Below are 15,797 nucleotides of genomic sequence, written 5' to 3'. Positions count from 1 at the left end.
AATATATTCTGGTAGAAACTCTCCAGTGTTTTCTAAGGTATATGTATGGAACAAAAGTTTTTCCAATTAATTACATCCATAGGGTTTCTCCCCAGTATAAAGTTTGAGGAACTCCTGGAGAGTTTCCCTTCAGTATACATTTTCCAGTGTACAATAAAATCTGTGGTATAAGTAAGGTATTGTGCCTTTCTTTATATTTGTAATGTTTTTGTTCGGTAAAATAATCCTGTGCACTTTAAGGGTTATATTTTGTGAAAGACCCTTCAACAGTCATTACATTTATACCAATTTTATTTAGTATGAAATCACTGATGTAGATTGTGATGTCAACATTCATTAATGGTTTTGCCACATTCTTTACTTTGGTAAAATTTCTCTCCAGAATGAATTCACTTATAGTAAAAGTTGAGCACAAAATAAAACCTTTGCTATGTTCCTTACAATTATAGGGGCTCTCTATCATGTGAATTATCTTATATTCAGTAAGGATTGACCATTGATCAAATACTTACCACATTCTTCACATTTCTAGGATTTCTCTCCAGTATGAATTCCCTTATATTTAGTAAGGTTTGAAACCCAGTTAAAGGCTTTGCCACGTTTTTCACATTTGTAGCATTGCTCTCCAGTATGAATTCTCTTGTGTCCAATAAGATGTGAGCTCTGGTTAAAGGTTTTGCCACATTCTTCACATTTGTAGCATTTCTCTCCAGTATGAATTCTCCTATTTTTAGTCAGGATTGAGCCATGCATAAAAGCTTTTCCACATTCTTCACAATTGTAGGGTTTCTCTCCAGTATGAATTCTCTTATGTTGAGAAAAGTATGAGAACCAGTTAAAAGTTTTGCCACATTCTTCACGTGTAGGGTTTCCTTTCAGTATGAATTCTCTTATGTCCAATAAGGTGTGAGCTCTGGTTAAAGGTTTTCCACATTCTTCACATTTGTAGCATTTCTCTCCAGTATGAATTCTCTTATTTTTAGTAAGGATTGAGCCATGCATAAAAGCTTTTCCACATTTTTCACAATTGTAGGATTTCCTTCCCATATGAATTCTCTTGTGTCCAATAAGATGTGAGCTCTGGTTAAAGGTTTTGCCACATTCTTCACATTTGTAGCATTTCTCTCCAGTATGAATTATCTTATTTTTAGTAAGAATTCAGCCATGCATAAAAGCTTTTCCACATTTTTTATAATTGTAGTGTTTCTCTCCAGTATGAATTCTCTTATGTTGAGAAAAGTATGACAACCAGTTAAAAGTTTTGCCACATTCTTCACATGTGTATTGTTTCCTTCCAGTATGAGTTCTCTTGTGTCCAGTGAGATGTAAGCCCTGGTTGAAGGCTTTGCCACATTCTTCACATTTGTAAGATTTCTCTCCAGTATGAATTCTCTCATGTCCAATAAGGTGTGAGCACTGGTTCAAGGCTTTGTCACATTCTTGACATTTGTAGGGCTTCTCTACACTATGAATTCTCTTATTTTGAATAAGGTTTGAGAACCAGTTAACGGCTTTGCCACATTCCTTACATTTGTATGGTTTCTTTCCTGCATGAATTATCTTATGTTGAGTAAGGATTAAGCACCGGTCAAAAGCTTTGCCACATTCATCACACTGAAAGATTTTGCTAAGGTAGTTGATAAACATTGGTTAAGTCCATTATAATTTTTTTGTGTGTGTTCCTTACACTCACCCACACTTTTCCAGTCTTAAGTTTAAATTTTCAGTGTCATAGCTTTCATATCTTCTCAGTATCACTTTTGGGAGTAAATGTTTTATGCTTTGCTCAGGCAAAAGATCTGGAGTGAAATGAGAGGACACAGCTAAAAAAAATAAAAATAAATTATACCACTTATTAGACTCAGGTGAGTATACCCTACAAATACAAAATATAAAATTATACCAAGCACAATAAGATAGCATAATACCACAAGCCCAAATTCCTTAATAGACTTGTAAACTTAACAAAAATATATTGACCACAGTGCCTTTGTAAGAGTTCTAAAAAGCAGTTAAGAGATTGCAGTGCCACAGATGAAAACGATGCCAACAGCCACATAGAAAAAAAAGGAGCATTTGTTACATTTACCCACCACAGCCATACTTCCTCCTCAATACAAAATAATGCCTTTAAGTGAAAACTCTCAACTCCCGGCTTCTCTCTCAAAAGTGAAAAAAAAATAGTGGCACATGTGTCCATAATTCTGGCTTTGAGGGATCTTTCCAAAGACTGGTTTCTGTCTACCATGACAAAGAGTGCTGAAAGAAATGGTGCTACTCTTTGAATGACAGGTTAGTGTCTGCGAGACAAAAGGTAAATGATTGTTATAGCAGCAGAGAGACTGTAGGACCACAGAGAAACAGCAGGTATACCAACTAATTACAAGCTGTAAAGCAGAAACTTGGGCAAAACCACATAACTCAATAAAGAGAACACAAAAATATAGGGAAGAGACATCTTAAGAACAGGTTTGAGAAATTCTCAATATCTAGCCTGGTAAATTGGTGTCAGACACTGCAGGGAAGAGAGCCACTTTATACAGACTGTGACAGGTTACTTTTTTAAATGCCCGTATCTCAACCAAATGTTACAAAATATACAAATATCAGACTAACATGGCCCAATCAAAGAAACAAGTATGCAGAAATCAACCCTAAAGAAATGATGATGTATAAATTGCCTTAAAAATCAAAATAACCACCTCAATTATTCTCAATGTGTAACATAGAAACACAGAAAACTTAGTTTAATCAGGAAAATAAGAATATCAACACAATGACAAAGAGAAACAAATTGTAGAGCAGAAGCATAAAAAAAGACTGAGAAATTATCCATTATAAGAAAAAACATACTAAAAACTGAAGCTCAACAAACTTCAACTCAGATAAAGAGACCCATAACAAGACACAATATAAGCAAAGTTTTGAAAGTCACAGAAAAGAAGATAATCTTGAATGCAGAAAGACAAAAGAGATGTATCATCTATATGCATGCTCCTGCAAGATTACCAGTGAATTTTTGAATGAAAACCCCGCCAACAAGAGGGGTCTTTAGTTATACAGTCCAAGCGCTAAAGGAAACAAAACTTTTAACAAAACTGTCCTACAAAATTTGAAAAAATAAATATTTTCCAAGTAACTAAATGCTGAGAATGTACATCACCAGTATAACTGTCCTACAAGAAATGCAAAAAGAAGTCTTTCCCATTGAAAATTTAAAATGACAGAAAACAAACCAAATCATACAAAAATACACAATTTGTCAGGGCACGGTGGCTCATGCCTGTAATCTCAACACTTTGGGAGGCCGAGGCAGGTGGATCGCGAGGTCAGGAGATTGAGACCATCCTGGCTAATGCGGTGAAACCCTGTCTCTACTAAAAATACAAAAAATTAGCTGGACATGGTGGCAGGTGCTTGTAGTCCCAGCTACTCGGGAGGCTGAGGCAAGAGAATGGCGTGAACCCGGGAGGCAGAGCTTGCAGTGAGTCAAGATCACACCACTGCACTCCAGCCTGGGTGAGAGAGCTAGACTCCATCTCAAAAAAAAAAAAAAATACACGACTCTCTGGGAAAGATATGCATATACACAAAAATAAAACTTAGTAGTATTATAATAATTAGGCAGAAAACAATTGTGCTTTAAAATTTGAAAGACATCATGAAAATTAAAACCCATTAATATTTGATATACTCAGTGACATTATAATTTGAGGGCAGATGTAATGAGCAAGGATTTTTGTATGCAACTGAGTGCAAGTTGTTACCAGTTTAAAATATACAGTTGTAACTTTAAGAGATTTTATGTAATTTAAATGGTAACCATAAAGAAAATGCAGATACGCAACAGAAAATAAAAAAGCAAAGCATGAGTCATTACAAATATCAACAAGACATAAAGGAATACAAAGTAAATAGGGACAAAATAGCTATAAGACTTAACTAAAACAATAAAATGGTAAGTGCCAGTCATTTTCTTTCAGAAAAGTATTGAAATATTCATGGACTAAACTTCCCAATCAAAAGAAATACATTAAATAAAGGAATTGTTTTTAATTTAGAAAACAAAATCTACCTATGTCATGTCTCCAAGAGACTCACCTAAGATCTAATGGTGAAAATAGACTGAAAGTGGCAGGATGGAAAAAGACATTCTGTGCAAATGTTAACCAAATGAGAGGTGGAGAACTAATTATATTAAGTAAAAAGCTGTCATATTTTATAAAACATAGTTTAAGTCAAAACTCACAAGAGACAAACAAGGACATTATATTAATATAAAATGGTTCATTCACTGGGAACCTATTTGTATCTCCTATCAGGTTTCCCAAATATATAAAGCAAGCATTAACAGAAATGAAGTAATATAACAGTGGGAGAGTACTTCAATACTTTCAGTAATGAATAATAAAGCATGACAGAATATTAATAAGGGAACAAAGGACTTGAAAGCAATGTAAAACAATTAAACCTAAAAGACATATACAGAACACACCACACAACAGCAGAATCCACAATCTTTTCAATAGCTCATAAGAAAATTCTCCTGGATACACCTCTTATCTTACAAAACAAGTCTTAATCCATTTTTTAAACTTGAATATTACATGCTATTATTTTTGGCCAAATTGAATGAAACTACAAATCACTAACAGAAGGAAAGCCAAAAAAACCCACAAAATATGAAAATTAAACAATACACACTTAAGCATGCTCTTGTTCAAAGGTTGGAAGACTTAATACTGTGAAGATGGCCATACTGGACCAAAGTGATCTATCTACACATTCAATACAATCCCTTTCAAATTCCAAATTTCTCTTTTCCAAAAATAGGAAAACAACTCCCAAATCATATGAAATATCAAGAAACCACAAAGAGCCTGACTATTTAAAAAAAGAAAACAATATTGGAGACATCATGCTTAATGATTTCAAAATACAAAACAAAGGTAAGGTAATCAAAGCACTTTGGTACTGGCGTAAAAGAAAACCCTACACCAACAAAACAGAATACAGCACAGATAAAAATTCTCATATGTATGGCCAAATGAGTTATTAACACCATTTATTGTGGCATTATTCACAAAAGCCAATAGGTAAAAGCAACCCAAACTTCCCTCACCAAATGAATGGATAAATATAATTTGGAATATAAAAATAATGGAATACAACTCAGCTTTAAAAGCAAACGAGAAGTCTTCTAACATCTACCATAAACATAAATCTTGATGACATTATGTTAAATTTAATAAGCCAGCTGAAAAAAGACAAATACTATATGAATCCACTTATATGGGATATCTAAAGTAGATACACTATTAAAAAGAGAAAATAGAATAATGTTTGGAAAGGGCCAGGCAATGGGAAATAGGATTCACATGGATTGTGTATTAGTTTCACAAGATACTAACATTCTAGGCTGGGCACGGTGGCTCACGCCTGTAATCCCAGCATTTTGGGAGGCCAAGGCAGGCAGATCACATGAGGTTGGGAGTTCAAGACCAGCCTAACCAACATGGTAAAATCCCATCTCTACTAAAACTACAAAAATTAGCCAGGCATGGTGGCACATACCTGTAATCCCAGCTACTCAGGAGGCTGAGCCAGGAGAATTGCTTGAACCTGGGAGACCGGGGTGAGCCACGATTCCACCAGTGTACTCCAGCCTGGGTGACAGAGTGAGACTCTGTCTCAATGAAATAACATAAAAATAGAAAACATTCTACATATATGTTGCTAACAGTGTCAATATATGTAATATAAACTGAACTACATAATTTGAAGTATTTAAGATTGTACATTTTGGTGTGTATTTTTCACAAAAATAAACATACAATCAATAGAGTTAAGAAGCTTTTCAAAACATACCTCCAAATCACAAAATGTTTCTCTCACTCCAAGATAATACATATTCAACAATAAACAGGTGTAGAAATTAAGACAATTTCCATGACTACTCACCGACACATGAGAAAATAACCACCTATCACTAATCAAAATAACAGTTATATACAAATTATTTTTAAAATGTGGGTAATATTTATACAGGCAAACAAACACGAAGATAATTATAGTGGCAATAGACGTATGACTCATTCATATTTGACTTTTGCTGTACACTGGCTTGAAATGTGTGACGTTGAATATTGCCATGCAGAACTATAAATATATAAATCAAAACAAAACACAATTAACTAAAATGAGGTAACCTATCCTGGCGGGGCGTGGTGGCTCATGCCTGTAATCCCAGCACTTTGGGAGGCCAAGGCGGGCAGATCATGAGGTCAGGAGATCGAGACCATCCTGGCTAGCATGGTGAAACCCCATCTCTACTGAAAATACAAAAAAATTAGCCAGGCTTGGTGGCGAGCACCCATAGTCCCAGCTACTCGGGAGGCTGAGGAAGGAGAATGGCCTGAACCCGGGAGATGGAGCTTGCAGTGAACCGAGGTCACACCACTGCACTCCAGCCTGGGTGACAGAGCAAGACTCTGTCTCAAAAAAAACAAAACAAAACAAAACAAAAAACTAAAATGAGGTAGCCTATCCTAAACCATGAGATATTGACATATAAAATTGCAAAATAAAACTTTAAAAACACATTAACCTAAAAAGTCTTGAATAAACATAGTTCACTATGGAATCCTTCTAGATACCTACAGTGTTCAACTATGACTGGGCATCCATAAAGAGGAAATATTAGATTTTATTAAAACTTCAACTTGTAGGTTCAAGGGTTACATGTGCAGGTTTGTTACATGGGTGTATTGCATGATGTCGAGGTTTAGGGTAGGATTGATCCCATCAGCCAAGCAGTGAGCATATACCCAACAGGTAGGTTTTCAACACTTGGCCCACTCCCTCCCCCAGCCCAGGGGTCTCCAGTGTCTGCTGTTCCCATCTTTATGTGGCACCATCACAGCTTACTGCAGTCTTGACCTCCTGGGTTCAAGCGATCTTCCTGCCTCAGCATCCTGAGTAGCTAGGACTACAGGCATGCACTACCACATATAGCTAATTTTTGTATTTTTAGTAGAGACAGGGTTTTGATACATTGTCCAAGTTTGCCGCGAACTCCTGGGCTCAAGCAATCCACTTGCCTCGGCCTCCCAAAGTTCTGGGATTACAGGCATGAGCCACTGCACCCGGCAGAAATTTTTTAATCTGAGGAATGTAAACTACCTCTAAGTTATTAGGTCCACACAGGCACAGGAACTAGGCAGCAGTTATGTCTCACTTCCCCCCTTGAGCTTTGTAACCATTTCTTGAAGCTGCTTGCTCTGTGGAATCTGGACTGACTGATGTAAAAAGTGGCTAGAAATTAACCTCCGCCTCCCAGGTTCAAGCGATTCTCCTGCCTCAGCCTCCCAAGTAGCTGGGATTACAGGTGCCTGCCACCATGCCCGGCTAATTTTTTGTATCTTTAGTAGAGATGGAGTTTCACCATGTTGGCCAGGCTTGTCTTGAACTCCTGACCTCGTGATCCACCTTCCTCAGCCTCCCAAAGTGCTGGGATTGCAGGTGTGAGGCACTGTGCCTGGCTAGATTTTCAACCAGGAAAATAAAACTCTTATACTTAAATTAAGAAATAAAATTCTTAAATACTTGGGCAAACTGGAATTACATTGCAGCAAGATTTTTATAAAGAAAACAAAGCCAGGCGTGTTACTCATGCCTGTAATCCCAACACTTTGGAAGGCCAAGGCAGGTGGATCACCTGTGGTCAGGAGTTTGAAACTAGCCTGGCCAACATGGTGAAACCCCATCTCTCCTAAAAATACAAAAATCAGCCAGGTGTGGTCGCGGGCACCTGTAATCCCAGCTACTCGGGAGGCTGAGGCAGGAGAATTGCCTGAATCCGGGAGGCAGAGCTTGCAGTGAGCAGAGATCACCCCACTGCACTCCAGCCTGGGCAAGAATTCAAGACTCTGTCTCAAAAAAAAAGAAAAAGAAAAAGAAAACAAAACAAAAAGGGAAACAGCCTGTTTCATCCACAGTTCATAAGGAACCCCATACTCTAGATTAAACACAGGCCCAAGCTTAGTAACCACTCTGACCTTGGAGATGGAGCCCAGGGTGGTTCATTTCTAAGTGGTGAGGGAGAGAAACCTGATTCTCACCACTAGCCAAACTCACCTGGAGTCAGTTTAAGGTTCTCACCTGTGATGTCTTTCTTTCCTTTTTTTTTTTTTTTTTTTTTTTTTGAAACAAGGTCTCCCTCTGTCACCCAGGCTGGAATGTAGTGGTGCAATCTGGACTCCCTGCAACTTCTGCTTCCCAGACTCAAGCAATCCTCCCACCTCAGCCTCCAGAGTAGCTGGGACCACAGCCACTCTATTTTTAATAAAAATGGGGTTTCCCGTGTTGCCCAGGCTGGTCTAAGACTCCTGAGCTCAAGCCATCCACTTGTCTTTGCCTCCCAAAGTGCTGGGATTACAAGTGTGAGGCACCACACCCATCCTGTGATGTCTTTTATCTGACAACACTTCTGACAGCAAATGTGTGTAGCTTGCTGAATACAAACCAATTCTCCAACACAAACTAGTTCTCCAACAATTCAATTCTGTCACCACCCAGAGTTAGCACAGATCTCACAAGTTCAGGGCTCGGAACCACCAACTGCCCCCCACTGCCCATGCCAGTCACAATCTCTGGAGCCCATCTACACTGAGCAACTGTCTATAAATCAGGGGCTCCCATAAGCCCTCATGTCCAATAATTTGACAGAACTTCTCAGAGTACTCAGGGAAACATTTTACTTAAGTTTACCAGTTTATTATAAAGCATACAACTCAGAGGCTGGGTGCGACGGCTCATGCCTGTAATCCCAGTGCTTTGGGCGGCCAAGCTGGGCAGATCACCTGAGGTCAGGAGTTCAAGACCAGCCTGGCCAACATGGTGAAACCCTATATCTACTAAAGCTATAAAAATTAGCCTGGTGTGGTGGTGAGTGCCTGTAATCCCAGCTACTCGGGAGTCTGAGGCAGGAGAATCACTTGAACCCGGGAGGCTGAGACTGCAGTGAGCCAAGATCACACCATTGCACTCCAGCATGGGGGACACAGCAAGACTCCATCTCAAAATATACAAGTAGATAAATGAGTCTAACTGTACTACAAATGTATACATTTGTAGTACAGCCACCCTTAAAAGGGTGGAGATAAAGAGTCTTGACCTAAGTAACTTTGGAAAGCAGTGTTTTGATTGAATGCTGTTAAGACTCAAGTTTGTATACAAACACTGGAATCTAGTTGGTAAATTTGTTTCCTGCAAGAATATGGGTTAGTAATTCTGAAACTACTTTATATGTTAGAATATATTTTGTAGATGATTAGTGCCCATTTCTCAGTATAGTCATAAAACAATTACACATAAACAAAGGAATCATGTTAGAATAAACTAGCGGTTCTGGACTGGAGTTGGAAATGTCAGAATGAAGCCATGTCCATACATTCAGGATGGATGAATGGATGGGTGGATGGATGGATGGATGGATAGATAGATCTATTGATAGATAGATAGATGTGGGCATATTTGAGTTTATATTTATATACACAGTTTCAAAGTCCGTCTGCTGAGAGGCCCAAAAGCAGTTATATCCCAGTGTCTATGAGCACACCTAGCTCTCTAGATCTTGATTTCTAATATAATTCTTTAATAAAAGGAAACAAAGCTTGTAAAAATGGATAATTCTAGGGCTGAAAATGGAAAATAAAAGTTGAGTAGAGTTTCTTGTAGAGCCAGAAAGCTGAAAAGTGCTTTTCATAAAAGAGAGATGTCAAAACAAGATAACTTGGCAGACCTCCCAATGGCCCAAGCTGGAACAATGTGAACAATGAAATCATGATAGCATTGAACTCCAACTCACAGAATAAAATAAATACCCATGAGTCCATATTGATAGAAAAAGATTAGGTAAATAAAGAAGGAAAGAATAAAGGATGGAAGGAAGGAAGGAAGTTTAAATTTTTCCTAAATTAGTATTTAGAATTCCAAAATACTAATCAATATAGGTAGATAATTCAGATATAAAATTACCACTAGAACACCACAGTAGTAATTATCATAAGCAAGATTCACTGAACAATTCAAAAATGGTGACTAAAGAGTTATAGGAACTGTGTGCATGCGTACAGTTCCAAAGTATCTGCCTCCAAATATCTGGCAGATATTTAATTTTTCTTTTAATTTTGTGAAAAGACTTATGACTTTTTTTGTTGTTGTTTTTCTGGACACAGAGTCTCACTCGGTCACCCAGGCTAAAGTGCAGTGGCATGATCTCAGCTCACTGCAACCTCTGCCTCCCGGGTTCAAGCGATTCTCTCACCTCAGTTTCCCGAGTAGCTGGGATTACAGGCATGCGCCATGATACTCAGCTATTTTTTTGTATTTTTAGTAGAGACAGGGTTTCACCATATTGGCCAGGCTGGTCTCAAACTCCCGACCTTAGGTGATCTGCCCGCCTTGGCCTCCCAAAGTGCTGGGATTACAGGCATGAGCCACCTTGCTCAGCCAACCTGTGACTATTTAAAGCAAAAATTATAACATTGTAACGTGGAATTTAAATCATGAAGATGTTAAATTTATAATGGTAGCATGATAAATAGAGTTTAATAAAATTGTTTCATAGCAAGGTTTTTATAATGTACATTGATTAAAATTGCACAGTATTAACTCTACATAGATTGTGGTATGTTAAAAGTGCATATTGCGGCCGGGTGCAGTGGCTCACACCTGTAATCCCAGCACTTTGGGGGGCCAAGGTGGGCAGCGGATCACAAGGTCAGGAGATCGAGGCCATCCTGGCTAACACAGTGAAACCCTGTCTCTGCTAAAAATACAAAAAATCATTTGGGCGTGGTGGCAGGCACCTGTAGTCCCAGCTACTTGGGAGGGTGAAGTAGGAGAATGGCGTGAACCCGGGAGGTGGAGCTTGCAGTGAGCCGAGATTGTGCCACTGCACTCCACCCTGGGTGACAGAGTGAGACTCCATCTCAAAAGAAAAAAAAAAGTGCATATTGCAATCCCTGGAGCAACCGCTAAAAAATGCAAAGAGGTGTCACTTAAATGCTAATAAAGAAATTAAATATTAGAAATTACATAAGGTTGTTCATAGACATTTTAGTCATAATAGCCCAAAGTAGAAAACCACATGGATGAATGAATTGCAGGGCATTTATACAACAGGATACTATTCAGCAGTACAAAGGAACAAACTACTGAAGCATGGACCCGGGATGACTCTCCTAACCCTGCAAAATGAGACAGGCTGGACATAAAATAATGCAGCTGTATGAGTCCAGGCAAAAGTAACATATGTTGAAAAAAAAATCAGAGCAGAGATAGCCTCTTGGGAGAAAACAAAAATTGCCTAGGAAAAAACAAAAGGGAATTTCTGAGGATGATGAAAACATTAACATTCTATTCTTTTTAATTTATTTATTTATTTATTTTGGAGACGGAGTCTCGCTCTGTCACCCACGTTGAAGTGCAATGGTGCGATCTCAGCTCACTGCAACCTCTGCCTCCCGAGTTCAAGCGATTCTCCTGGTTCAGCCTCCCAAGCAGCTGGGATTTCAGGCACTTGCCACCACACCTGGCTAATTTTTGTATTTTTAGCAGAGATGGCATTTTGCCATGTTGGCCAGACTGGTCTGGAACTCCTGACCTCAAGTGATCTACCCATCTCAGCCCCCCAAAGTGCTGGAATTATAGGCATGAGCCACTGCACTGGGCCAAAAACATTCTATTCTTAAAGTAGGTGAAGATTACATGGGGGAGTGTATTTATTTCTTAAAACTGTAAAGTTTGGTGGGATGTGGTTGCTCATGCCTGTAATCCCAGGACATTGGGAGGCTGAGGCAGGCAGATTGCTTGAGGTCAGGAGTTCGAGACCAGTCTGGCCAACATGGTGAAACCCCATCTCTACTAAAAATACAAATATTAGCCGAGCATGGTGGTGGGCACATATAGTCCCAACTACTCAGGAGGCTGAGGCAGGGGAATCACTGGAACCCAGGGGGCAGATGTTGCAGTGAACCAAGATAGTGCCACTGCACTCCAGCCTGGGTGACAGAGCGAAACTCATTCTCAAAAATAAATAAATAAATAAATAAATAAATAAATAAATAAATAAAATGTTCCATAGTAAAACAATTGTATAAAAAGACAAAATCCATCTACAATACTAATGTCTAAGATATTGGTGACCTTTGTTGCGGAAGGGAAGGAGAAAGAAAATGATTGTTGGGGACATACATGAGGGTGGTTCTATTTCTTGGTTATAAAACTATATTCGCTTTGTAATAATTCATTGAGCTTTACATGAATGCTTTGTGCACACATTTCTGTATGCATGTTATACATCAATAAATATTTTTTTGAGACAGAATCTCACTCTGTTGCCCAGGCTGGAGTGCAGTGGCAACATTTCAGCTCTCTGCAGCCTTCACCTCCTGGGCTCACTGGATCCTCCCACCTCAGCTTTCTGAGTGGCTGGGACTACAGGCACACGTGCCACCACATCCCACTTTTTTGTATTTTTTGTAGAGAGAGGGTTTCGCCATGTTGCTCAGGCTGGTTTTCCACTCCTGGGCTCAAGAAATCCACCCATTTCAGTCTCCCAATGTGCTGAGATTACAGGCATCAGCCACCACATCTGCCCCACCAATAAAATTTTTAAATATTACATATTTGCATAAAAACCCTAACTCGGTACCTCAGAATAATGGCAGCATTTTGTTTATTCATTTGTTTTGTTTTAAAGTGGAACACATTTGCTCAGGTAACCACGAGATGGATTTTAATATTTTCAAGTATCTATTAATGTTCTAACATTCAAGTGACCTCCTGGGTCTTTCCATTTTTGCCTGCATTTGGTAAGTGGTATGGTGTTGATTTTGGGGGATGCATTTCTCCCCAGCAAAGTCCTCTCCAATAATGATGCTCACCAAGGTTAGGGAATCTAGTACAGTGCCCTGTGCATACAGTAAGGTGCTTGTGGAACTTGGTTGAATCCAAAACAAAACAAGTAGTAGAAGTCAATTCCAACCAAGGTACTAAGTAGGTAATGCAGGTATGGCTGGAAAACCAAATTCCAACAGTCAACATTTTTGCATTAATTTGAGAAAACATTTACAACTAGTTCACCAGAAGATGTTGGTGTAAGGCAACGTTTTGGGGACTTGGTTGCATACTGTAATCATCTGGAGAATTTTAAAAACACTGTTGCCTGGTGGTGGCAGGCACCTGTAATCCCAGCTACTCGGGAGGCTGAGGCAGGAGAATCGCTTGAACTCAGGATGCAGAGGTTGCAATGAGCCTTGATCACACCATTGCACTCCAGCCTGGGAAACACACACACACACACACACACACACACACACACACACACACACACACACACAAAGAAAAGAAAAAGAAAAAAGAAAAAAAATTGTTGCCTGGGACTCACTCAGAGATTCTGATTTACTGGTCTTTTGCAACTTGGCCTTGGGAGATTTTTGGCCCACCTATCACCCTCTGGCAATTCTGATGTTAAACCAAGGGTAATGTTCATTGGTTCGGTGTGAAGGATGAATTAAATATATGTGTTTTCCATGTGGACTGCTGGTATTTGCCCCCATGGATGCTCCTGAGTTTTGGCTTTTGGAAAACAGTTCTGCCCTGTTAAAATCAAAAGATGGGCCAGGCACTGTGGCTCATGCCTGTAATCCCTGCACTTTGGGATCACCTGCGGTCGGGAGTTCGAGACCAGCCTGGCCAACATTGTGAAACCCTGTCTTTACTAAAACTACAAAAATTAGTTGGGTGTGGTGGTGCGTACCTGTAATCCCAGCTACTCTGGAGGCCGAGGCAGGAGAATCACTTGAACCCGGGAGGCAGAGGTTGCAGTGAGCCAAAATTGTACCACTGTGCTCCAGCCTGGGTAACAGAGTGAGACTCCACCTCAAAAAAAAAAAAAAAAAAAAAAAGATGACTTGAAGATGTACTCAGCAGTTGTCTGGGCTAAACTGCAGCAAGGGAAAATGTCCTCTTGGCAGCTCTATTTTTATGTCACTTGTTTTCAGAGTAACAGATTGTTTCTGTTACGGTATTTTGATTTAGTCTGTATTGAAAGTCGTAAATAGCCTACAGATACCACAAAGGGATGACAAGAATTTGCAGACACATAGAGTGCATTATACATGCTTTTAAATTTTTCCTATGGTGGTGAAAGAGGAAGTCAAATTGTGCCTGTTTGCAGATGACATGATTGTATATTTAGAAAACCCCATCATCTCAGCCCAAAATTTCCTTAAACTGATAAGCAACTTCAGCAAAGTCTTAGGATACAAAATCAATGTGCAAAAATCACAAGCATTCCTGTACACCAATAACAGACGAACAGAGAGATAAATCATGAGTGAAGTCCCATTCACAATTGCTACAAAGGGAATAAAATACCTAGGAATCGAACTTACAAGGGATGTGAAGGACCTCTTCAAGGAGAACTACAAACCACTGCCCAGTGAAATAAAAGAAGACACAAACAAATGGAAGAACATTCCATGCTCATGGGTAGGAAGAATCAATATTGTGAAAATGGCCATACTGCCCAAGGTAATTTATAGATTCAATGCCATCCCCATCAAGCTACCAATGACTTTCTTCACAGAATTGGAAAAAACTACTTTAAAGTTCATATGGAACCAAAAAAGAGCTCGCATTACCAAGATGATCATAAGCAAAAAGAACAAAGCTGGAGGCATCACGCTACCTGACTCCAAACTATACTACAAGGCTACAGTAACCAAAACAGCATGGTACTGGTACCAAAACAGATATGTAGACCAATAGAACAGAACAGAAGTCTCAGAAATAACACCACACATCTACAACTATCTGATCTTTGACAAACCTGACAAAAACAAGAAATGGGGAAATGATTCTCTATTTAATAAATGGTGCTGGGAAAACTGGCTAGCCATATGTAGAAAGCTGAAACTGGATCCCTTCCTTACACCTTATACAAAAATTAATTCAAGATGGATTAAAGACTTAAATGTTAGACCTAAAACCATAAAAATCCTAGAATAAAACCTAGGTAATACCATTCAGGACATAGGCATGTGCAAGGACTTCATGACTAAAACACCAAAAGCAATGGCAACAAAAGCCAAAATAGACAAATGGGATCTAATTAAACTAAAGAGCTTCTGCACAGCAGAAGAAACTACCATCAGAGTGAACAGGCAAGCTACAGAATGGGAGAAAATTTTTGCAATCTACCCATCTGACAAAGGGCTAATATCCAGAATCTACAAAGAACTTAAACAAATTTACAAGAAAAAAACAACCTTAAGAACTTAAAAAGTGGGCAAAGGATATGAAAAGACATCTCTCAAAAAAAGATATTTATGCAGCCAACAGACACATGAACAAATGCTCATCATCACTGGTCATCAGAGAAATGCAAATCAAAACCACAATGAGATACCATCTCACACCAGTTAGAATGGCGATCATTAAAAAGTCAGGAAACAACAGATGCTGGAGAGGATGTGGAGCAATAAGAATGCTTTTACACTGTTAGTGGGAGTGTAAATTAGTTCAACCATTGTGGAAGACAGTGTGGCGATTCCTCAAGGATCTAGAACTAGATATACCATTTGACCCAGCGATCCCATTACTGGGTATATACCCAAAGGATTATAAATCATGCTACTATAAAGACACATGAACACATATGTTTATTGTGGTAGTATTCACAGTAGCAAAGACTTGGAACCAACCCAAATGTCCATCAATGATAGACT

General features: G+C 39.0%; 1 pseudogene; it reads right to left on the bottom strand.

Moving 5' to 3' along the window:
- On the bottom strand, positions 337–1,815 carry LOC728376 (zinc finger protein 430 pseudogene; annotated as a pseudogene).

Source organism: Homo sapiens, chromosome 7, assembly GCF_000001405.40.
Source record: "Homo sapiens chromosome 7, GRCh38.p14 Primary Assembly".
NCBI classification, from domain to species: domain Eukaryota; kingdom Metazoa; phylum Chordata; class Mammalia; order Primates; family Hominidae; genus Homo; species Homo sapiens.
This window is presented reverse-complemented; position numbering and strand designations above follow the sequence as displayed.